This window comes from Homo sapiens, chromosome 11 (assembly GCF_000001405.40).
Source record: "Homo sapiens chromosome 11, GRCh38.p14 Primary Assembly".
NCBI classification, from domain to species: Eukaryota; Metazoa; Chordata; class Mammalia; order Primates; family Hominidae; genus Homo; species Homo sapiens.
Genome location: NC_000011.10, coordinates 106,077,398 through 106,102,839, shown reverse-complemented (window position 1 = coordinate 106,102,839; position 25,442 = coordinate 106,077,398). Strand labels below are relative to the sequence as shown.

General features: G+C 36.2%; 1 protein-coding gene across 1 annotated transcript, besides 2 other annotated features; it reads right to left on the bottom strand.

Moving 5' to 3' along the window:
* Positions 1–4,144: 4,144 nt before the first annotated feature.
* AASDHPPT (aminoadipate-semialdehyde dehydrogenase-phosphopantetheinyl transferase) lies at positions 4,145–25,178 on the bottom strand. The gene is made up of 6 exons (NM_015423.3): positions 24,947–25,178; positions 23,148–23,373; positions 12,162–12,283; positions 11,363–11,524; positions 8,186–8,257; positions 4,145–6,097 (listed from the first exon to the last, which is right to left on the bottom strand). Exons 1-6 carry the CDS (start codon positions 25,127–25,129, stop codon positions 5,933–5,935), a joined length of 930 nt encoding a protein of 309 aa, NP_056238.2. The 5' UTR covers positions 25,130–25,178; the 3' UTR covers positions 4,145–5,932.
* Positions 10,845–11,104: an enhancer, noted in NCBI's record as "active region_5468". NCBI's record gives its function as "activates an Ori minimal core promoter by ATAC-STARR-seq in GM12878 lymphoblastoid cells {active_cell/tissue: GM12878}" and the evidence as "EXISTENCE:reporter gene assay evidence [ECO:0000049][PMID:35858748]".
* Positions 24,911–25,150: an enhancer, noted in NCBI's record as "active region_5467". NCBI's record gives its function as "activates an Ori minimal core promoter by ATAC-STARR-seq in GM12878 lymphoblastoid cells {active_cell/tissue: GM12878}" and the evidence as "EXISTENCE:reporter gene assay evidence [ECO:0000049][PMID:35858748]".

Here is a 25,442-nt window from a genome sequence, read left to right as displayed (position 1 = left end):
ATCTGCCTAGCTTCTAGGGAGGCCTCAGGAAGCTTACACTCATGGAGGAAAGTGAAGGGGGAGTAGGCAGAAAGCAGAAGCAAGTGAGAGAGTGAGGGGGAGGTGCCACCTGCTTTACAACAACCAGGTCTCACGAGAACTCACTATCACAAAGACAGCACCAAGATGATGGTGATAAACCATTCATTAGAAATCTGCCCCCATGATTCAGTCACCTCCCACCAGGCCCCACTTCCAACATTGGGGATTAGAATTCAACATGACATCTGAAACTGTATCAGGAGGTAAGACTTCCCCCTCAGACAAATGGGGCTGCCTCTGCCAGTAGGAAAGTTTCAGGGAAATGTAAAAGGCTTAAGCTTCTCAGCCTTTCCTGTGGCGATCCAAATGTTCCCATCTCATTTCTGAAGGCCCCACTTCTTCCATACCAATGCCCTTACCTTAGCATGTGAGACCCAGTACTGGCCAGTAATTGGTATTACAACTCAGCAGCCCTTACAATAAAAGCTCTAGGTTTGAGTCTTAGCTATATCTACAAAATACAAGATATTCCCCTAGAGTTGCCATAGATTTTGTGATGCTTTGTTTTTTTCCCAATTTTTCCCTTTGCTTTCAATTTGTCCTTTCCCCTGTGTATATGCTCTAGACATTCAAAAGAGCCAGTCCTCCTAACGATCTCTGTAATCTCTACCATGACCATAGTGACTATGTGCCACAGCCCCTTGATCTTCCAACACTGTACTCCACTTGTATTCCATGACTCCATGACATTACTAGTAATGATGTAAGCAATTGTGACATCACCACTTGCCACCAATGATAAGCATCCATTTTCCCTGACAAGGAAGTTATTTGTATATACATCAAATATGTGAGCAATCCAATTCCAGAATTCCACTTTCCCAGGACTACTCATGGTACAAATTACTGTATTAGTCAGGGTTGTAGCAGGAAACAGATGGCACAACCAAAAGTAATGATCAAAGAGGGTGTAGGCAAGAATAACAAAAATCTATGGAGATGGTGCAGCAGCTTAGGCTAAGCAAGAGCAAGATCTTTCTACTTCTAAAATGAAAAGGCAGGGAAAAGTTGTTCCTGAACCCATGAGATGTATATATGGAGAAGGCTATGTCAGAAGCTGTGATGCTGAGGAACACAGCTATTTCCAAGCCACTGCAGGGCAGGAAGGCAAGTGGATAATCATCCTATTTCCCTTTCTACCTAGTCCTCTGCTAATACCCTCCCCCACCTCTATTTGCAAAACCCGATCAAGGAAAAGACAGCCTGGCCAACAAGGTACATAGAAGTCAGCTTCCTGCGGTAGTGAAGGGTGAAAGATAGTGGATTTAGAGGGGAAAAGAACAACTAGTTTAGCAGGCTTCTTGCTCATGCAACACTGGAAAAAGCATGAAGAGCTTTAAAGGGTGCTAAGTAACAACCGAAAACACTCATGGAACTATCAGGAGCATCAAATTTATGGGATTTCACTTGCCTATTGCTGAAGGCTTCTAGGATAGTAAAAAAGTGGTCTTACACCTGCAACACGGTCAGTCCCCTAAAGGTGACCTGCAGAGGGGTATACCACACCAAGATTTGGGCTCTACTGCTTAAGTACTCAACAAATGTTACTTTTTTCCCCTTCTAATGCTGGCTCCTTTCCAATGTTTTTTCATTCAAAATGAAAAACATTCAAAATGAAATTCGTTTTCATTCAAAAATGACCCTAAAAGAACAGCAACTATGTACTCGTGGGCAGGAAAATTCCTCTGAAGCCCCACACCTTTTTACTTAAAATACAGGCAAATTTGCATGCTACTTACAATGTCTGTAATACTTTTATTATGAAAAGATTCTTTCCAAAATTTCAGATAAAACGAATGCCTCTAGATGACCAATTGCTATCTTTTGATGAGTTACTACCACACACCAGTGCCTACTCCTAAGTATGTATACTCCTTGAGAAGTGTGGGCTTAAGTGAGCTCAATTATTCTGACACTGTTGTTACTTCTAAGTAGCACACAAAGAGATTCCATCCTAATGTTTCAATCCTAATAGGGAAATGTAAGATTTAATCACAAAACACTATACATACAAATAGTAAACGCATAACAGCATAAAATTACAAATATTGGAGATTATCCCTGGAAAGGGAAAGATGAAGGGGTGGTAACTAGGGGGTAGGAAGTCTTTAGCTGCATTTGTTTTATTCCTGAAATGAGAGGAAAAAAGATCTGAAGCGAATATGACAAAATGCCAACATGTGCTAAACCTAGGTGTTGGTTACACGTCATTATTTCATGGAATAAGCAAAAGCTACATATAAAGGTCTCTTCTTCCCTGCCCCAGGATTGCTGGTTGTTAAATATTTACCAGCACACCACTAAGTATAGTGGTTGACTGAGGTTTTGGATCTAAAGATCTGAGCCTAACTCTGATCAAATAACAAGCTTCAGTATTCAATGAATATATAACCTTTAGTAAGTTGTTCAAGAACTCAGTAACTTACTTTCCCCATCAATACAACTCCATAGAGTTATAAGAATTAAATAGCCTGATATGTGAGTGCTTAAGATGCAAAATAGCTTCTAATATAAATACCATAAGACATATACAGCAGTTACCTGACATTAACTGATAAACTGGGAATACATCCAAAGACCTTTGCCAATCCCAAATTCACAAATACTATGAAGGTATATTTATTTCCCCCATAAAAATGAAATCCATCATTCATTAGCTCTCTTCATATCCTCTTTAAACGTACTGATACTTGGAGTTGTTTTCAGGAATATTTTTGACCAAAGATATATTTGCATATGTGTATTTATAAATCTATTTGGTCCTCAAGTTCAGATGGTAATAGTTCCACTAGTGAGGAGCTGTTGAGTTACTCAAACCTAACTGGTTTTTGAGTTTCAGATTCTGAATAGGTAACAATTCTAATTTTGATAGTGAAAAATTTAACTGAAAATTTATCCAAATCTTTTCAATTTCTGAGTCTGAAATGGAAGAGACACAAATATACAGATTCATTTTAAAAATAAATTTATGAGAGTTCCTATGCAGGAAACACATTAACAGAGACCAATAAAGCCATACATTGGTCAGTATGTTATAACTGGACCCAGCAGACATGAGTATGAAGCAGCATGTGCCAGCCCAGCACAAAACTCAGCAAAATGCAGCCATCAAATACTTGGAAAAAGTGGATATGAATACAGCGTTAACAAAGAGCTTCATGTGGAGGGGGATAGGATAATGGGTTTAAGAAACAACTAGATCCCTATACCACTCTGCATAGGACTGTCCCTTCCTCTTAGAAGTCTCAAAAAATGTAACTCCTATGCCCACTTTGTTCTCAAAAAGCTATTTCACATGAATGGAGTAAATCTAAGATGTGAGAGATAGCAAATGGGGAACAGGGAATCCAACACAGGAGAGACAATCCCCAGGATCATGGTAAAGGAGATCCCAGGATTACAGCTGTACACCAGCCATAGAAGGCACAAAGTCCAACTTGGACAAAGCAGATTGCTCTAGGAGTGATTTTTTAAAAGATGAAAGAAACTGATGGAATCATTGTTACGTTTGAACATATAGAGAAGATATTCATACATATGGTAGAAATCTATGCAGTCAATTAACTAAAGGAAATAAGAAATTAGTATATGGTAAGGATAATACATCACTCAGCTGTATACAGCAGTTACATAATCTCAATAATGTACACATATCCTTAGTGTAATCACAGTCAACAATGTAAACATTGAATTGTTATGTTGGGAGGAGAAAAGGGGATAAAAAGGGAATGTGTAATGCTGGGAAGCAGAAGAGGGAAGCTTTATTTTGAAAATCAAAGAAACAATGCCTAAAATTAAAAAATCAAGTAAAAGCAATATAAGCATGTCATTTGGAGACATGGTAATAAATAACAAAAAAAATAACATCTAAAAGAGTTGAAAGGGCTTGCCCTGGAGACAGGAAATGGAAGAAGTCAGAGTAATGGCCTTTTTCCTTAGGAAAAAAATCTTACAGATCTATCCAATTTTTTAAAGCTGTGTACACATGAAACTTTGATTAAAAGTAATAGAAAAACTAAAAACTAAAAAACACAAATCCAACACAGTGTCAGGCTCATAGAAATTCCATAATAAATGTTCATTTTTTTATTATTATAATGACAAGACAAAGTTTTTCATATCACCATTACACTCATGCTAGGGATAACAATACTTCCTCTATTATAAATGCTACTTGACCTTTATTTACTATGCTTGGCATAACTGGGCATGCTTAATAAAATAAAAAAAAAAAACATTCAAATTTTTTTCTTTTACTAATCGAAGTACCTAATTTTATACAATTTGCACACTTTTAATGTTAGTAACAGAAACAATGAAATTATTTTACTTCTTGATACTTAAGAGTTTAACTCCAAGACATGCACTACAACCACATAATAGATTTTTGTCATCAATATGATGGTCCTGGCATCTTATATATTAAGTTCACACTTTAAATTAAGTACTACTTGCTAAAACGAAAACAGGTAAAAACAATGAACAGACGGTTCACGTTAAGAGGAATACGAAAAGCCAATAACAATACTGACATAACAATCTTATTTGTAATGAAAGAAATACAAATTTTAAAAATGACATACCATTTTTTAATTACATTGGCAAAAATTAAACCAAAAAGAATACCTACAATTGACCAAGGAGTATTCTGGCAGGGGGAGGGAAGTCACATACATATAGTACTAATTAGAGGGGTAAATTGTATAATTAAAGCCCTATGAACCAGTCAAACCAATCATTCCACTTTTAGAAACTTTCTCAAGGACATAATTAAGCATGTAACTCAAAATGTACAAGGACATTCACTCTGCCACTGCTTGTAGTAATAAACTGCAGATAATCAAAATGTCTAACACAGAAAAAAGTGAGTAAATTATGGTAAACCTTTCTTATGGGAAGGCAGTGGGCTTCCAATTCCATTCTTCACACCTAGCTTAGCTTCTTTCTTTTCAACAGAGTCTACTTCTAACAGAGACCAAAAATGTCAGACATTGCCTTTCTCTGTAACCTGATCTAAGTCAATGGAAACTGAGGGGAAATCTTCTGGAGGCTTTTGTTAAAAATCTTCCTCATGGATAAAACAAATGAGAGACGAAATGGCCTTTTCTGCCTTTGAGATACAATTTTACAAAGATGTAAAACTGGAAGTTATAGCAGCAGCTCTTGTGATCGAGAGGTGGAATAGCCTAAGGCAAAACAAACCAACTGAGGTCAAGGCAAAAAAAGTGTGTCTTTAATGACACCCCTGAACCCTGTGTTATGTCAAACAATTTCCTAGGTTACTTAGGCCAATTATATTTGGACACTGTTACCTCTGGCCAAAAGCATCCTAACTTGTATTAGCTATACAACAGAGTACATTAGAACCACAAAAAGTTATGTTACAGAGGTATATTTATGAACAGTAGATGTGCAGTTAAAAAGAATTTACAAAACAGTACGTTTCCATGTTTTTAAAAAAATCAAATATGTCAATATGGATTCATTTGCCAAGAAAAAGGTCTGAAAAGATACTCAAGGTTTTAAGAGTAGTTATCTTTGAAAGATAGCATTTAAATGTTTCCTTTTGCTTATGTGCATTTTCTATTTTTTTCTACAGTTAGCATGTATCACTTTAAGATTCCGCCATCCTTCCTATCAATTCAATGCAATTTAGGAAAGAAAGAGGTAAACATGTATTCCAGTGAGCTATCTTGAACCAGAAGTCTGCTTTTTTTTTTTAATTGGAAAAGTTTCTGTTCTTTAAAAAAACTTTCGTGAAATAAAATTTGATACTAAACAAGCATTTATTTTTCAGTGAATACGGAAGATCACAAACAGTTTTCATTTCCCTTTGTTACTCAGGGAATCATCATGACTTTGTACCATTTCGTATTGGAATTTCTTCTGTGAAGCAAAAACAGTCCCAAAATGAAGGATCTTCAGGTGTCATGGGAACGGCAGATGACATTAAATCATTAAAGTTGAGAATAGTAAATTGCCTCTGGGTTGGTTTGGAATCATCCTGAGATGGAACCTAAAAGACAAAAGCAGATTACCTTATTGTTATATTGCATGTTAATCTTATGATCAATTTCATAATCATGAAAATAAGTAAGACCAACTTACATTTCAGTAGTATTAAATGACAACATAGGATTCCTAGAACATTGTTTGTATTTCTTATATTAGTGTTGCCAATACAACAAATCAAAAAAAAATGAAATAGAAAACCTGATTCTTGAACTTTTTTATATAACAAAAACCTGTGGTATTTTACATGTAGATTTACTGGGCCCCACATCCAAAAAGTGTGATTTACTACATATCAGTTAGAAGGGATATCAAAATCTGTAATTTTAACGAGCAGTCAGGTTATTTTGATAGAGGTGAGTGAGAAAGTGAACTTTTGTGAAATACTACTCTAAAAGGTGGGTCTGATAAAACTGCCATAACTATACAGAGATGTATACTTCTTTAGGAAATTATTTATTCAATATTAAATTTAAACTGTATCTTACTCTCTGAGATAGAGCCCTTGTTCACAATTGAACCCAGTGCAGACCCTCTTTAATATTCTACACATCTAGTATAAATAGTACTTGGGTTTTGTATAGCGCTTTAACAAGTCAAGGTCCAGTACTTATATGACTGGTCTCATAGCTATGTTGTGATACGGTTATCTTAATTTTATGGATGGGGAATCTGAGGCTCAGGAAGAGCAAACAATTCAAACAATTTGTCCAAGCTCAAAACATAGGTTAAATGGTAGATGTGGGCCTAGAACCCAATTTTGTGAATTGTACTCTAGTCTTCCCAACATGCCACTGTTGCCTAAACAGGCTCTGTCCAGGGAAATGAAAAGTACTGAATATGCAAATGTTTCAACAATTATAAAGCTCTATGAAAACAAAAGGTATTTTTGCAGGGAGTGTGAAGCTGAGATTTAAAAACAGAAGGACGAGTAACCTGGGTCAGAACATCTTCAGATAACAGGTGTCAATTTTAACATGCCATCCCTTTTTAAGGAAGATAATCTATGGAGAACTCGTAATCCTTTGATTAATCTATCAAAGGTTTGGTGTGTTGCCTGAGCTACTTTTGTGGAAGTAACGATGCATATATATTGATCATGCTACATTCTTTCATGTTGATTTACTAAAAATAATGGAATGCATGTAGTTTTCATTAAAACATACGTTTTCCTTAAATAAATACTTCTGCAGAATCACAATTATATGAAATCTAAGAGTCTTTGACCCTAAGTTCTTCCCCCACTTGCTTACCAGGTAATAGGATAAGAAAGTATAAAAACATTGTGGCTGAATAATTGAAACTGATGTTATGCCACAATATGACACAAGGTCTCTTACATGTTTGACACTGTAACTTTGGGAATAATTCAGGATATTACTTTAAAAGGAGGAGTGGATTCAATTTGCAAGGTAATTCCATTACTCATCAACCTTCAACGTGGTACTCTTACATTCAACACAACCCCAATTCACCAAGAAATAAACTACTGTTAAGATGACTAAGATAATCTTGAATGTCTATTGGAAATATGAGTAGCATGATAGTACTACCATATTTTTTTTTGTTGTAATACTTAAGCGTATACGAATGTGAAGAAGCGGGTAACATTTCTTTTTTTTGAGACGGAGTTTCGCTTGTTTCCCAGGCTGGAGTGCAATGGTGCGATCTTGGTGCACTGCAACCTCCACCTCCCAGGTTCAAGCGATTCTCCTGTCTCAGACCTCCTGAGTAGCTGGGATTACAGGCGCCCGCCACCACACCTGGCTAATTTTGTATTTTTAGTAGAGATGGGGTTTCTCCATGTTGGTCAGGCTGGTCTGGAACTCCTGACCTCAGGTGATCCGCCTGCCTCAGCCTCCCAAGGTGCTGGGATTACAGGTGTGAGCCACCATGCCCAGCTGCTTTTTAAAAATGTTTCTACAAAATCCCTAGTGATCTTAATATTTGCTAATAAAGAGTACTACTATATCTATAATCTTAAAAAAATCTCTCTAAACTGATATAAGGCAAATGACTATTTCCATCAATAAAGAGCAAACTTAACATTGATTCATGCTATTTAGAAAAAAGAGAAATCCTAAAATCTTACATCCTGATGTCTAGATCCATCGGGTTTCCTAAGAGCAACTGCAACAAAATGGTGCTCATCTATTTTGCTTTCCTGAAAGATAAAAGGTAAATAAATATAGATTATAAAATATGTAAACCTAGATGTAACTTTGTTTACATTTTCTAAATCTCATTCTCTCTCTCTCTATATATATATACATATACGTACACTCACACGCGTGCATATATATATTTCCCCACCTCCGCTAAACTACTTTAGAAGTTACATATGTGCTGGCCCTTTACTCTTAAATACTTCAACATGTATTTCCTAGTAGGCACATTCTCTTACATAACCACAGCAGTTAATAACGTCAGTAAGTTTAACATTGAAACAATACTTTATTAGCTGTATTCCAAATTCTGTGAATTAATCCAATAGCATCCTTTGTGGCATATCCCTCCTCCAGAACAGGAGCCCAGTAATGGGCAAGTAGGGACAAGTATTGCATTCAGTTGTCATGTCTTGTTAGCCTTTCTTTTGTTTTTTATGACATTAACGTTTTAAAGTACAAATTCCCTAAATCTGCTTTTTATTAATAAAATATTGCTCATTTGGGGTTTGTTTGATATTTAATGAGTGGATTAGGTTATGCATTCTCAACCAGAATACTACACAGGTGATGTGCCCTATCTAGAGGTACTTGACAGCTATCTGTCCTTCACTGGTGATGTTAGTATGTATAATAAAGTACAAGGTTAAAAAAAAAAAATCAAGTTGCAACATTGGTATGTAAGCATTTAGTAAACTACATACTATCACGTATGAAAAATCATGGTGGAAATTTATAGGTAAAACATAACCAATATGCAATTTTCTACTTTCCTCTACATATGAGACAAAGGGGAAGGGGACTTTAAAATGTAATATATATTGAAGCAGTTACCAGAAAAAATTGTAAACACTTAAAAGCTGAACAAACTTTTCACTGAAAAACCACTTTACTAAAGCATTCTTCCATAAAACGTCAGAAGAAACTACAATTAGAAATAGTACTTAGGGAGCTTTTTCATTTTTTATCTTCTTCTTCCTATCTTCATACCTTCAGGTACCCAAGTCAGCATAAAGTGAAATTCAGTAAGGATAAATTTAAGATATGTTTAAAGAGGAAAAATATAAGACTAAGTATCAGAAGATTTACTATGTCAAAGTTATCGCAAAGTAAGTCTGCTATGTAGCCCTGTTCTGTTTTCTCTTTAAACAAACAAGAAAAAAGTAACTGGAATGTACAAATTTAAAAATATCTAAAATAATTTTTCAGAAATTTAGCATATAAGATATAGTTCTTATATGTATTGAATATTTCAATAAATAAGAATCATGCTTAATGTATAATGAGAGGTGTATGTACACTAACAATTGATAGTTGGACACTAAAGAATGTTAACTAATGGATATACTGTTTTGAAACTTTCATTTTTTAAATTTTTTGTAGAGGCAGTGTCTTGGCCTCCCAAAGTGTTGGGATAACAAGCATGAACCACCACATCTAGTCCTTAGCAGTTATTGACCCAGCTCTCTTCTTCAAAATGCTTTCTGTCCTTGGATACCAACACTACTCTCTTATACCATTTTGGTCATTCTTTATCAGTCCCCTCCACAAATTCACCTTTGAATATTAGTATAGATGCTCCACGACTCACGATGATGTTATATCCCAATAAACTCACTGTAAGAAAATATGGTTACATGGAAAATGCACTTAATACACCTAACCTACCAAACATCATAGCATAGCATAGCCTACCTTAAATGTGCTCAGAATACTTATATCAGCCTACAGTGGGCGAAATCATCTAACACAAAGCCTCATTTATAATAAAATGCTGAATAGCTCATGTAATTTATTGAATATTGTATTGAAAATGAAAAAAGGAATGGTTGCGTGGGTTCTGCAAATATGAATTCTACTGAATGCATTATCACTTTCATACTGTCATAAAGTCAAAAAAAGTTAAACCATCATAAACTGGGGACCATATATATTCTCAGGGCTCTATTCTAGGCCTTACTTCTAACTTCTTGTGGTTTCAATTTCCACTTCTCTCTTCATAGATTCAATATATAGCTGTTCCTTAGGTAATCTCACAGTTTCAACTTCAAATCCATGGTTTCAACTACCATTGACATAATGGTTATACTTATAACCATTATGATTATAATTTTTTTCCTCTAGCCCAGCCCTCCATTCCATTCACCTATCTGACATCTTCACTTAGATGTTTGGTATCTCAAACTTAACATCTCATTTATTTTCTAGTATTCAGTATCTCAACAGATGATCTTGTAAGTCAGAGAACTGCTCTATAGCCCGTTTGCTGGACACAAGCAGGACCAATCACAGTATAATGACTGGTCTGGAGATAAACAACTAGCCCAAGCTAGGCCAGGGCATCCCTTCTCTAGGATTTTTGGGCTTGGAACAGAAAGTGAGTTTACCAGTTTGTTTAGGTTTTTAAACTGTAAATTGTTTATAAACTGTTACATGCAACAGTATGTTACATGCAAGAGCCATGTTTTCTGTCATGCAGACCAGAGAGGCTGAGAAAGCTGGTGTACAGAATGAGAAACATGGGTGGGAGAAAACTGAAGCCAAAATGTAGAGAAAGGCAAAACTAGGAGACAAAAAGAGCTCTAAATATTTCATCCCCTAATTCTAGCTAATACTGGGGACAGTTACTGAATCACTCTAGTAACCTATAATACTGTTTTGGGGGGTTTTTTGGCTGTGTGTGTTGGCTTCTCTCACTAGCAACCAGGAACTGCCAGTGACAGAAACAAAATACAGTAAGAAACCAAAATATTTAACTTGATCAATACCTTGTAGGATCTACCAGCCTGATCTGGAATCTCTCTTAAATACCCTCATTATGGCCCAGCCAAAGTGGCTGCGTTTGGCTGTTCATACATGCAAAGCTCCTTGTCAGAGCCTCTTTTCCTTTCCCGTACTGAACTCACAATGACTCATCTTTCAACTTCTTTCAAGTATTAGTATAAATGTTACATGCTCTCATAGTAGCCCTGATTTCACTTTCAGAGCAGCAGGACTGGATTCAGTTGCGTCCAAATTCAGTGACTAGCTTACCCAAATTAATCACACATACATGCATAAAAAATAGAAATTCTTAGTTTTAACAATTCTAACAAATTTCTTACCTCAAATGCCCATTCTTTTTCTTCCTCTCCATCCAGGAATAAACGTGTTTCTTTATAAACTTGGCCTATATCCAAGTTTAATGGAGATAGATCAAATTCAAGCCGCTGCAATTCAAATCCTAGTCCAACACCAATGGCTTTTATGAAGCTTTCCTTAAGTGCCTAAGATACAGAAAGACATTTTCTCTTAGAATTTGGTGGACAAAAATTTTTCATAGAATCTACAGGTCCAAAAGATAGGGAGTTTCAATGCTATACTACATTATGGCTATATAGCTATAACCTTTTTAAAAAAAAACCCTTACAGCATGAAAACAAACCATCCATATGATCTTAGGGCAAATCATTTAAGCTCTCCGTGCCTGTATCCCCTCGTATGTAACCTGCGATGATGATAACAATACCTTCCTCATAGGGATGTTATGTACATTAAATTAACTAACTTAGAGCTTGAAGTAATGTCTTCTGGCATGTAGTATATATTATCAGTGTTTGTTATATAGGACCTCATGTGTATTAGTTCCTTTATGACAGAAAATATTATTTATCAATGGTAATGATTTGTTTTAGCTTTAAGTAAGTACTTTCTAACTGAGCATTACATATAGGTTAAATTTTCTTAAAATGAAATGTCATTATAATGTAATACCATATGCATAAAAACCATAAAATTCTCAAGCAATCACCCATTTACTTCAAGCACTGTTTGGACACTACTGGGTAACCAAGGACTCTGATTTTAAGTGAAGATAATGGAATCATTATAGACTTTTGCTTTCAAAATTAGAAAGAATTATACCCAATTCCTATAAAACATATCCAGCTGAGTCCACTCATCCTTAAAGCTTCTGATTGTTTCCCATTCTTTGTTGGTAAACTTTCTTTTCATAATATGAAAGAATTCTGGAATTGAACCACGACCTGCCAATTAAGAAATAAAAAATTAAATAGCAGTTCTATTAAAAAATAAAAAGTTGCTCTATTACTAAAACTGTTCAAGACAGCACCCCCCAAAGATCTAAAGGGCAACCATACTTTTGAATACATTTAAAATAATCCTAAACAAAATCTCGGCAAGTCAAAGCAAGTTGAAAATTAAAAGAGTAAACACACTATGACAAGCAGTGGTTAGCCCAGAAATATAAGAGTAGTTTAACAGGAATTGGTGATATTCTGTAAATTATTAAGTAAGCAGGAAAACCATATGGTTGTATCAATATATGTCCCAAAAAGTTTTGATAAAATTTAGCAGCCAAAGCTGTTATAAATTTTAAATAACAGGAAATTTCTTATATAAAAGGATACTTATCAGAAGCCCAATTAAAATACTCCTAAAGTAGAGCCATATTATTCTAAAGTTTTATTTTGTTATGTAACAGAGAAAAAAAGGGAATAATTCTTTTATTACAATTTTTGGAAAATTAGCAGAAAGCTGAAAACTGTTCTTTTATTCTACATTATTGCCACGGCTAAAAAATTAATACCTTCTTCAAAATGTTTTCCAACTTGTTTTCTAATATGACTTATTCAAATAAAAAGATTTTCATTACTCTTTCGTGGTTGCAGTTGCAAAATAAGCTCATTTTTAAAAACTTGAAATATATCTTTAGTGCCACTATTTCATAGATAACAAAATATTACATAGCATTCTAAAAATAAATGACAAAAGATACAACTCAAAGGATCTGATTCCCAGAACCAAGGGGTAAGATACATGTTAAAATTCATGGTAGGCCTCTGGTACTGAATTTTCCAAAACATTAAAATTATGTGTTTGTGTGTCTTTACCACCAAGCACAAACTTTCTACCATCATTCATTTTATATAAATATGCATAATATGTATAAATATTTACACAAATACATATTCAACTAATATTAAAAGTAAATTGATCACTGTTCTTGCCTTTTATACTTACAGCCTAATGGGCCTATCAGAGAGCCTGTTCCAAGGTAAGTGAACCACAAACATTTACTAAGTGTATACATGAATGTTAACTATTATATGGTAAATTATTTCCTAAATATTCTTCTGCCCTGTATCCTTAGTTCATTATTACATTATTTTCCAGAAAACCTTTTGAAGGTAATCCCTTTGTGGATTCTGTTAATATGGGCTTACTCCAATTCCCACTTCTAAAATAACCAACTCCAAAATTTGACATTCTCAAATGATTAACACAATTCTTATGATAGCTGATACCACACACTCTATGGGCATTTCTTATGTAAATAAATATGTGGAGAAAAAAGATGTTGAAGATGTTGAACATCCCCTTAATACTTCACTGGCATTTAATCACTAATTCTCTCTATGAGAATTCAACAATTAGAATTCCATTATGATCACTCACTAAAAGCATACAAGTGCTAGGTACCACGAACCGCATGATGAGCAAAACAGACATGGTCCTTATCTTCACAGAGAGTTTACAGTTTCTCCTGCAGTAACCAAATACCTTTCCCACAATCATCTCAAGGGTAGAGTATATTAAAAATCGGTTCTGTCATGAAATAGTTATGATTCTCCCAGTACTCCCGCTTCAAGAGTCAAAATAGTCTCCTCTTAGTTCATCAGGAAGTATTTCTGCCGATCCTGTTGCTGATATGTGGTACTATGGATCAAAATAAGAATCCTCATTCATTTTTAGGCACCGAAATATTAAATTGTGATCTTAAGAGTTCAATGGCAAGAAATTCTTACCCCTTTTGGGGCCATGGATCCCTTTGTTGTCTGGTGTTTACTCCTCAACACCTTCCTGAGACTAACATTAATAGAAGCCCCTCAATAAAAACTTTTTTGTTCAATGCATCAATAGTACATACTGGCTTGATAAGTAACATCTTAAAGAACACTTCAAAGAAAGTAAAGACAGAAAGCTTCTGAAGTAACAAAAGTAAATCTGGAAATTTTAAACATTGGGAACACTATATCTACAAAAATCAAAAACTGTTTCTTGTTGAATGGATTTTGGCACAAACAGCATATGTAACAATAATGGGAGGAATAAACTATTTTTGGTTTGGAAGCCTGCATTATATATTTTGAGTGAAACTGTAGTTTTAACAGATTAATGTCCAAAAAATCTGCATTTAAAAAGATACGCATTTTGTCATCTATAGTGTCATTCTGCTTGCTGCTTTCTTCAAATTTTATTTTTATAACCTCCAAGAAGCCTTCTGATTTTTAACTAAATAAGATGGGGCAATCAAGGAAAAAAATTTAAATAAGCATGCTATTAAAAAACTGATTAACATAAAAGGCAATCAATCTGGCACAATCACTAGAAAGCAATCACATAACTCATTATGTACAGCCAAAAAATATCCGATACGAGTGCGTTTTCATATACTTTAGAGCATCTTATTTAGTCCACAAAATAAAAAATTTGACAGCAATAGGAAAAGGTGATTTCGTAAATATTCGGCCAAAGCACAGCAGCGCCACACTGTGGCATTATGGTGGATATACAGTGGGCAAATATTGTGTTAAGTATTAAGTGCAGTTTACCTAGGAAACTGGAATAAAGAAAAATCGGTAGGAAGAACAGTGAATTTGTCCCTTAAACTATTTGAAGACAGCACAATTACTGCACATACGTTGGCAAGTTCTAATAATACCATTACATACACAGAGAATCATCAGTCAAATTTAGAAAAACCTGATCTTCCATCTTATAGCTTGATCATTAGGGAGAGCAGTGTTAGATATTGTATTCTGGAATGATTAACTAATCAAGACCACCCAGCAACTAATGTTTTATTTTAAACACAGTAGTAACATACAACAAAATCATTTAGATCCAATGCCTTGAGCAACTATTTCAGGCCTACGGAAAAAAATCCAGAACCTCAGGGCCTACGACATTAATCCCTCTCCAAAACAAGGTCACCAATATGTATACACAAATATATACATATAACTACCTCAGCCTTTAGGAAAATGGGCTGGTCATTTTTGAGGGAAGTGGAAGGGAGTTAAGCAATGCCCATCTACGTGCTTGCTTCAAAGTACCAAAATTTAGCCTTAGATAATAAATCATATTAGAAATTGTAATAGTTTCACTTTCTAAGTACTAAACTGTATATAATAGAATTATATATAATTTTGCTTCTATGAGAAGTGACAGTCTTCTAAGATATGAGTTAGTATGTACACCGTAATGCTTATCAGCTCATTTGTCCAGGAACTTATCCAGACAAAAACCTAGAATAACACAAAAATATCTGAGCTGCCAATATAGGTTTCACAAACTACATGCACAAAGCTTCTTGCATGTTACTATCAAAGGATGTATTTAAGCCCTCAATTTGTGGAGTACAGCAGAAAAAGCACTAGATTGAAATAACGTCAACCTAGGTTTGAAACTCACCATTTAGGCAGTCCTAAACTTCAGTTGCTCTTACATTGTTTACCAACACATATAGGTATTAACACACAGAGGCAAGAAACAGGCTGATAGAGCTAGAACTACTGGGCTGCGAATGTTATCCTTTCAGGAAGAACTCCAGAGAATGAAGAAGAGGACCAAGAGGACAGAGCATGAAGCCTTTTATTTTCAGGCTTTGAAACCTAATGAATTTACTCTGCTGGGTTTGGAACATGTTTGAGAACAATGACCCCTTTTTACTTCGAACTTCTTTTTGGAATGGGAATGTCTATCCTATGCCTCTCCTACCACTGATTTTTAGAAGACTTGTTTTCTGCTTTCACAAGTCCACAGATGAGAGGAATTTTGCCCCAAGAAGGATCATACTCCAGTTTCACACATAGCTGATTTAGATGATTGAGATGAGATCTGCCACTTTTTGGGTTGATGATATTAACACTTACATGAGATTTAGAGTTAATGCTGGAATGGGCTGAGAATTGCTAATGCTGGGATGGGGTGAATTTACTTTGTATGTTAGATGGATATAAATTTTGCAGGGGGCCAGAGAATGGACTCTACTGGGTTGAAGGGTGTCTCCTGAAATTCATGTCCACCCAGAACCTTAGAATGTGACCTTATTTGGAAATAGAGTCTTTATAGATGTAATCAAGTTAAGATCAGGTCATACCTAATTAAAGTGAGCCCTGAATCCAATGCCTGGTTTCCTTACAAGGAGAGACAGACACACAGAGAGGAGACAGAAAAGGTCATTTGAAGGTGAAGGCAAAAATTGGAGTGATGCAACTGCAAGCCAAGGACTGCTAGGAATGAGCAGAAACTAGGAAGAAGCAAGGAAGGATTCTTTCTTAGAACCTTCAGAGAGACCATGGCCCTGCTGACACCTTAACTTCCAGCCTTCCAGAACTTACAGAAGAGCTTTCGGTCACTTTAAGACACCATGTTTGAGGTACTTTGTTAAGCAGCCTGAAGAAACTAATATACACATGGATACAATTTAAATTATACATAAGCACACACATTCGCGTACCCTTCGGAGTTTTAATTCTATGTCCCTGCAGTCAAATGTTCAAATGCTGGTCCATCACTTCTTAGCTAGAGATTGAGGATCCCTAATCTGAAAACCTGAAATCCAAAATGCTATAAAACTCAAAGCTTTTTGAGCATCAAAATTATACTCAAAGGAAAAACTCAGTGGAGCACTGTGGATTTCCCACTAGGGATACTCAACCTGTGGGTTATTTATTTAACATTTACTTAACATCTCTATGGCTGTTTCTCAAACTGTAAAATTGGGACAAAGAATTGGGCAGATTAAGAATAAACATGTAAAATGCCTGGAACTATCAAGTACTTAATAAATATTAGCTCTGAGGTTGTTGTCAAAGTCATGGTTAAATGTGTATCTTCTTTTGTCAACTGTTTTTATAAAGTCCTTCCTATATTCATCAAGTAAGGCTTAAGTGGTTTTCCCATCGATATTTAGAGGGGCATTTCATATCTTAACAACATTAACCTTTGTCTGTCAAATTTGCCACCAATATATTCTCTGGTTTGTGAAAGATGATTTAATATGAAATCATATCTGTTGACTTAGTGGTTTATTATTTTAAGCTTCAAAAGCCATCTTTCAGAAGTTTGCTCAAATATACAATTACATTGTGTTCTAGTAAGTGTTAATAAAACTGGCCAGGCGCAGTGGCTCACGCCTGTAATCCCAGCACTTTGGGAGGCCGAGGCGGGTAGATCACGAGGTCAGGAGATCAAGACCACCCTGGCTAACACAGTGAAACCCCATCTCTACTAAAAATACAAAAAATTAGCCGGGCGTCGTGGCAAGTGCCTGTAGTCCCAGCTACTCTGGAGGCTGAGGCAGGAGAATGGTGTGAACCCAGGAGGCGGAGCTTGCAGTAAGCCAAGATCACGCCACTGCACTCCAGCCTGGGCAACAGAGCAAGACTGTCTCAAAAAAAAACAAACAAACCAAAAGTGTTAATAAAACTTTAATTTTGTTATAGTGTGAGGCAATGACTTTCTGATAATATCACTCATAAAAAATGGTAAATGGGCTACAATTTTTCTTTTTGTTAGTTCTGTAAATTACATCCAATACAGAATTTCCCAAACATTAATATGTCTATCAGCTGGGAATATTGTTTAAATATGGAAACCCGGCCAGGTGTGATGGCTCACGCCTGTAATCCCAGCACTTTGGGAGGCCAAGGCGGGCAGTTCACCTGAGGTCAGAAGTTCGAGACCAGCCTGGCCAACGTGGTGAAACTCCGTCTCTACTAAAAATACCAGGTGGCGGGTGCCTGGAATCCCAGCTACACTGGAGGCTGAGGCAAAAGAATTGCTTGAACCCAGGAGGCAGAGCTTGCAGTGAGCCAAGCACCAATGTACTCCAGCCTGGGCGACAGAGCCAGACTCTGTCTCAAAAAAAAAAAAGATTCTGCTATATATATTTTTCTATGATGTGATATTGGCTGGGCACAGTGGCTCACACCTCACGCCTGTAATCCTAGCACTTGGGAGGCTGAGGCAGGCAGATCACTTGAGCCCAGGAGTTCAATACTAGCCTAGGCAACATGGAGAAACCCTGTCTCTATTATAATATTAAATATATATATATTCTAAGTCCCTTCAGGTTCATATAGACCTAACTAATTCTTTTATTACAGCTAATAATTATCTGCAGAATGCATCCACCATTAATTTATTTAACCAATTTCTATTAGCAGCATTCAGGTTTTGTTGTTATTCATAAATATTTTGGATAGAGTACTATAAACAAGATCGCTAAATCAAAGACTATGTGTATTTTCAATTTTAACATTATTTTCCAAAAAGCCTGTAGCAATTTCTAGTGTTTCCATCTATATGATTGTTCTTTTCCGACATTTTCACAAGCTCTAAGTGTTTTTTTTCCAATTTTCTGCAAATCTGATGGGCACCTCACTGTTACTTTAATTTGCATTACTCTAATCATTAAGGTAATAGCTTACTGACTGCTTGAATTTGTTCTTCTGTAACGTGCCTATTAATATTTTCTAATCACTTCATAGAAGCTCTTTATATATTATGGATATTGACACCTTACCAAATTTGTTATAAGAATTTTCCTTATTCTATTATTTATCTTTTGTATTTGGTTATATTTTTGGAATATAATTTTTTTAAATTTAAATATCCATTCTTTGATAAATTCTGAACTCTGTCTCGTTTGAAAAGAATTCATAAAAAGATTTACTGCAACTCGACATCATAGTCAACTATATTTTGTCCTAAAATTTTAAACTTTTTTATTTTTAAATTTCTAATTCCTCCAAATTGGTGTATATAGTATGTGTTACATCCACATGACTAACCAATTCTACCAGCACCATTTAATAAATAATCTTTTATCCACTGAATTGAAATATGTATATATCCTGGGCTCTAAGATTAACTCTTCCAGTTGTCTATTCTTTCGCTAGTACCATACTCTTTTTAGTTTACAATGACTAACACAAGTTTTTGAAACTGGTAAGGCAAGACCCTTACTATATTTTTCATATTCCTAGTCATTAGTTCTTCCATAACAACTTTAAATGTATGTAACCCAGTTTCACAGAATTTTTCATATTTTGGTATCTGCAAATTCTTTTAATAGGAATCAATAAAATCTCATACTGAGAGGCCATATACTGTAGAGAGCAGTGGTTAAATATATGAAGTTTTACTTTTTAGCTAAGTCAACTTGGACAAATGTCTTAACCTTTTATATAAAATAACAGTAGTACTTACGCACTAGTCTTACAAAGATGAAATAATACCTATTAGGCATCTAATATAGTGTCACACACTTGTAGGAATTGCTCAATAAATACTAGTTACACAATCAAATCCTACTGACAAAGGAAAAAGACCGACCTGTAACTGGGAAGGAGGAAAACTCCTTGAGGGTGGAGACTTGGTTTTCCAGTAAGGAATTCAGAGTACAAAGTGATGTGTGAGTTTCTAAAACTACTTACAGGTTTTAAATCCCAAGTGCATTTAAAAAAAAAAGTCCAGCAAAGTTTATTTTAAAAATGTAAAGACGAACATGTAAAACCATAGGGGGAAAATTCTGGTCCTTTCCCAAATTTCAATCATAATTTTTATGTATTTTGTCTATTTTATTTTGCCTTACTTTGTAAATATGGTCACAAAACTAAACAATTCAAAAGTTACCCTTTATGCTTATCACTTCAAACACTTTTAATGGTAGAAAAAATTAGAAAACAAAGGGAAAACCAACCAAAATTTTCCAAAAGAGGGTAATAAATTAAGATGAAGACCAGGAAAACACCATTCTTCCTAAGAGTAAGAATGTACCGTCCTGGCATATGGTAGGCTATATACTAGGTATGTTCTCTCCTGCACGTCCACAGCAACAGTTGGGAGAACAGGTAGAGGGAGGGAAATGAGCTGCACTCAGCAGAAATGGTTAATGCACCATGAAAGAAAAAGACTCTCTGAGTTCCTAGTGGATTCTTACCTATAGGACAAGACAGAGTAATGGAATTGACTCTTTCAATGCACTAATGATAACCCCCAAAAGCCAACTCTGTCTTTAGAGTTGGCAATCTAGTAACAATGCCTAGTACAAAACAGAGTACTTTCCTTGCTGCTCTCCTAAGTTTTGCCTAGCATCATTTAGCAAGACTCTTAGGAAAAATCCCTTGCTCAATCTCCTCACTTACTACAATAAGTAGAGCAATTCAAAGAATCTCCAATGAAGCAAATCAGTGTCTACTTCCCATCTTCATTAAGAAATCATGCTGTGTCCATTGATGCTTCAGGAATCAGTAGCATGGTAACAACACTAGTGACAATTGGAAAATCTCTCTTCCTTTCTGTGTTACTGGACATAGCAACAGCTTTTTCACAACAAAATAAAGAAAAGGAAAAGGCCTAGACATTGTGATTAGTCAAGTAAGATCAACTAAAAAAAACTGGTGGGGGGAGGTCTAATAACACAATTAACAGGAAAACTAAATCTTAAATTTTTGCTCAATTGTCTTTCCATCATTTATTTTTCTTTTTTATTATTATTATTATTATACTTTAAGTTCTAGGGTACATGTGCACAATGTGCAGGTTAGTTACATATGTATACATGTGCCATGCTGGTGTGCTGCACCCATTAACTCATCATTTAGCATTAGGTGTATCTCCTAATGCTATCCCTCCCCCCTTCCCCCACCCACAACAGTCCCCAGAGTGTGATGTTCCCCTTCCTGTGTCCATGTGTTCTCATTGTTCAATTCCCATCTATGAGTGAGAACACCATCATTTATTAAAAGCTTCAGTTATTAATTACTTGTTTATCTAGCATTGACCATAGCCAACACTGCCCATCAAGTTAACTGGTAACAAAATCTGTTTCTCAGAAGTATCATTTCCAAGCAGATACCAACCCACTGGGCCAATTATTACCAGGTAGTTGTGCTGACTGCATTCTAAAAAACAATGGCCTTTCCATTTCTGATTTTAGAAAAAGTTCCTGTAATGACAGCAGAAAGCTACAAGAATATATGGGCTAATTCCCATGCTAAGAATCCTCTATAGCAGCAATTTTTTTAGAGTAAGCCACCTATGTCCCTGTTGAATACCAGATCCTTTCCCAAGAAAAATGCACATGTGCATATCATACAAAATGTAGCATACAGTTTCAGGAGGTAAACAAAATTCCTGGAATCTTATCCAGGGAATCAGATCAACAATCTGTTATAAGGTTTCCAAAATCACTAGTAGGGCCTTGTTCTGAACAAACCTGAGAATAGAGTTGTACTGGAAAGGTTTATTAGCAGGTAAGAGAAAGAGTAGCTAGTAGGAAAATGCAAGGTAAGGACAATAAAAGCAAAAGGGAGAAGAGATTCACAACCACACTGAAGCCTATACTCTAACAGCACAGTGTTTATTCATTCATTTGACAAATATTTTACTATTACATGCTAGGCAAGGTACTAAGAGATGTGATAGTGATCAAACTCTGATGTGGCTAACATGGTTCTTGCTCTCACACAGCTTTTAAGTATCAGGAAAAGATAATCAATCATCCTGATGAATAATCAACTGAGATACATTACTGGAATAAGGAAAATATATTTTATGAGAACCTACAACAAAAGAACCTAGCTTAGATTGAAGGCTCACAAAGCTTCCCTAAAGTAAGGTTAAGGTGAAATCTAACAAGTAAATAGGAGTTCTCTATGCAGAAATGGGAGTGAGAGATAAAATTAATACAAGCCTTACAGACTGAGAGAGCCACATATTCAAACCACATATGGTGCAGGCAGTATGGAGATTAGATAGTTTTACTATGAAATTAGGAAGATGTGGGTTCTTTTATTAATAGCTTTCTTCTTAGCCTGTTACTTATTTTCTTTAAAAATAGCAGTATATGCATCATAGGGTAGTTGAGAGAATTAAATCACAGAATATGTCTAAAGCACTATGTAAAATGCCATGACACGTGGTTAAGTGTTCATTAAATGTTAGTGATGATGACAAATATACAGCAGTTAAGAGAACCTGTATTTAGTATGTATTAAATTGCCTGGGTACATTCAACTTCACCACAAATGTTAGTGGTCCTTAAAGCCACCACTAACAAATTTCTAAGGCAATATATAAGCAACTTAAATATTTTAATAATGCTTGCTCCTCATTTTTACTTACATAAATGGGCTAAAAAGAGATGTATTTAGATGCAGAACAAAGAGTCGCCCGTTGGTATCCACTGGGGACTGGTTCCAGGACCCTCCTCAGATACCAAAATCTGCGCATGCGGCCCTATGGAACCTGCATATATGAAGTCAGCCCTCCACATCCTCAGGTTTCATATCCTGCAAATACTGAATCTTGATACACGTTTGATTGTGGATGCAGAATCTATGGGGACAGAGGGCCAACTACTGAAAAAAATTCACATGAGTAGACCCATGCAGTTCAAACTTGTGTTGTTCATGTGTCAACTGTATACGTTATCTCTACATAAGGACTACAATGTACTTTACTATTCAGATTCTTTTTTAAAAAACAAACAATTAACTGAAAAATTGTGGTTAATGTTTAAGTGAAATAAATTGAAGTATAATTCAAAAAAAATTTCACTTAATATTTCACTTTACCTCTAGGCAAAGTTATGGATCCCCAGTAACGGATAATCTATTATTTATGTGTAAGTCTGTAAATATTCATGGAAATATACCCTTTTCAGATTTATGCTCTCCATTACCTTTGTGTACTAAGCACATTTTCCCTAAACTGAAATATCTCTAATACATCTCCTGGCCTGAGATTACTCAATAGCAATAGAACTGAGGCATCGAGACACTTAACTGCCATACTAGAAAAATGCAACGTTACCTGGAAAACTAGTCTTCATTATATCAATTCCAACTTGCAGCTCAGGTTCAGCAGCAAGCACTGCATAGTCTCCTTGATGAGAGATGTTAAAGTTGAAATTCGGGTAAGGATTCGATGAGTCCTTTGCAAGAACTGGTTTTCCTTTTGCAGTTCTTTGCAAACGAATATGATTCCAAGGGATATTCAATTTCTCTGCAACTAATTTCCTTATCATCAGACGACCAGCCTGTTAAGTACATAAAACATTTGGTATGTACTGATGTCTACTAAAGATACAAGCACACTGTATGCAATAGTACTTTTTTTTGGTTTCTAAAATTTTCATTTTTAAAACTTTTCAAAATACTTAAGTATTAAACACACGTTAATTAAGACTTAAGCAATGCTTAAGTAGATAAAAAGTTAAAGCCCGCCTTAGCAATTCCCTCTCCTTTGCTAGTGACCAAAGTTAACAGCTGGCATCCTGTCAGTCTTTTCTGTATTTAAATATATGTGCATTTACATGTTTTTGCTAACTCTACATATAAACACAAACATGAGATTATACTTATGCAGTATTCTACCACATATAAGCTTTAAATTTATAAGTATTGGGAAGTATTTTATGTCTGTACACACACGTCTGGTCCATGCAGTTTTAACTGTAGCATATTTCATAATATTATTTCCCCTTTATTGGACATTTTAGGCTGGCTCTAGACTTGCTGTCAAAAACAACTCTGCAGTGAGCAACCCTACTGTACCTACATCTGTGCATATGTATTTCTAGATCCCATATATTGATCACCCAGCTTCAACAATTAGCAAGGCATGACCTATCTTGTTCTGCTCTCTCCCACCTCCAATTATTATTTTTTAAATAATTACTAAAAACACACACACAAAAAAACAAGAATATAAGATGACAAAGTATATATTTTTAAAAATATCTTTCAGGTTTTTTTCTTCTTCAATTCTAACACTGACTTTTAAAAACTGCAGGCTTTTAAATGTAGCTTATTTTACAATTCCTTACAAATGAGTAAAAAATTTTCACCAATGTGCCTTAAAAATTATCAACTAGTCTACATTTCAAACAGAAAGTGTTTCAATATGGGACATTTTTAAGAAAGGACTGTCTTTTAAATGATGGTAATTCACGGTTGTTTCAAATTGCACCATATTGTACAGATTACTTGTTTTGAAATCCAGTTTTCCATTTGTTGCTTCAAAATACATAGCTAAAATAAATAAATCTACGTAAAATACTGTTTCCCATGGCATCTAGTGAGGAAGGTATCCTCTCTGGCTTCAATTTCATTGGCTTCAATCCCGGGGAGCGCAGGGCTACAAACTAAATCATACTGTCAATAATTTCTAGGGCCTACCACGTGCAGGGAGTCCTTGGAGAATGATGGGATATTTAACAGGCAGAATAAGCATAGGCTATGAACGCACACAAACAAAAAAAAATAACATTTAAAGATAAAGACATAAAAACATTCATTACAGAAAAACCCAATTTTGTCGGCCTTCCCTACACTTATTTCATGGTTTAGGAGGGTCTCCATTTGAAATAACAAGGGGAAAGAGATAATGTTTACAGCCATCGCGGCCTCCAAGGCGGTTACAAAGGCCGTGGAAACCAGGCCGTGCGTCGCCCACAACTCCGCAGCGCCGGCTGCTGTCGCCCGGGCCGGCCACAGGCTCCACAGCGAGAGGGTCGCGGCCAGCGCGGGAGTGTCGGGTCTCCACAGCCCGGCCCGCCTCCCCCAAGATCTGCTTCCTAGGCTCTAAATACCAAAAAAGACCTGTAGTACCATGGCTGCCTTAGCGTCCCGGGCAAAGACGAACTGGCCAATGCGCTCCTTCTCCTCGGGCTGAATCGATCGCACTGCCAGCAGCCATTCGGCTCGGCTCGGCAGCCAAGTGCCGCAGGAAAAGGCCCAGCGCACGCCCTCCATGGATGGCACCAAGCAGAACCGTTTGGCAGGGAAAACCATACACTGAAAGCGGACCTCGCCGCTATCTCGGGCCTGATGGCGCGGACGCAAACGTGGCCCCACCCCCTTCTTCCCGGCGTCCGTGCGCAGGGGACGGGCCGTCGCTACGCAGACTGGCCCACCGACAGCCCTCCCAGCCCGCCCCCGACTCAGCCACCTCCTCTCGGAGAAAGCAGCTGGGGGCGGAGACGGAGATCAGCCCTGCGCTTTGCGGCATTGTATGACGTCAAGTAGGCGAGGCTTCGGAGGCGAGCGAAGGGCGGGACCAAGGCCAAGAGCCCGACAGTTACGCCACTCACACTTGCGGAAGAGT

Bases quoted from the DNA above. Each gene is read 5' to 3' on its own strand.
- AASDHPPT (NM_015423.3), bottom strand. From the start codon at position 25,129: ATGGTTTTCCCTGCCAAACGGTTCTGCTTGGTGCCATCCATGGAGGGC. The intron at 11,525-12,161 runs GTATAATTCTTT...TCTGTATCTTAG, and splicing joins ATATGTTTTATAGGAATTGG to GCACTTAAGGAAAGCTTCAT. The intron at 6,098-8,185 runs GTAAGATTTTAG...TTTGTCTTTTAG, and splicing joins ATGGATCTAGACATCAGGAT to GTTCCATCTCAGGATGATTC.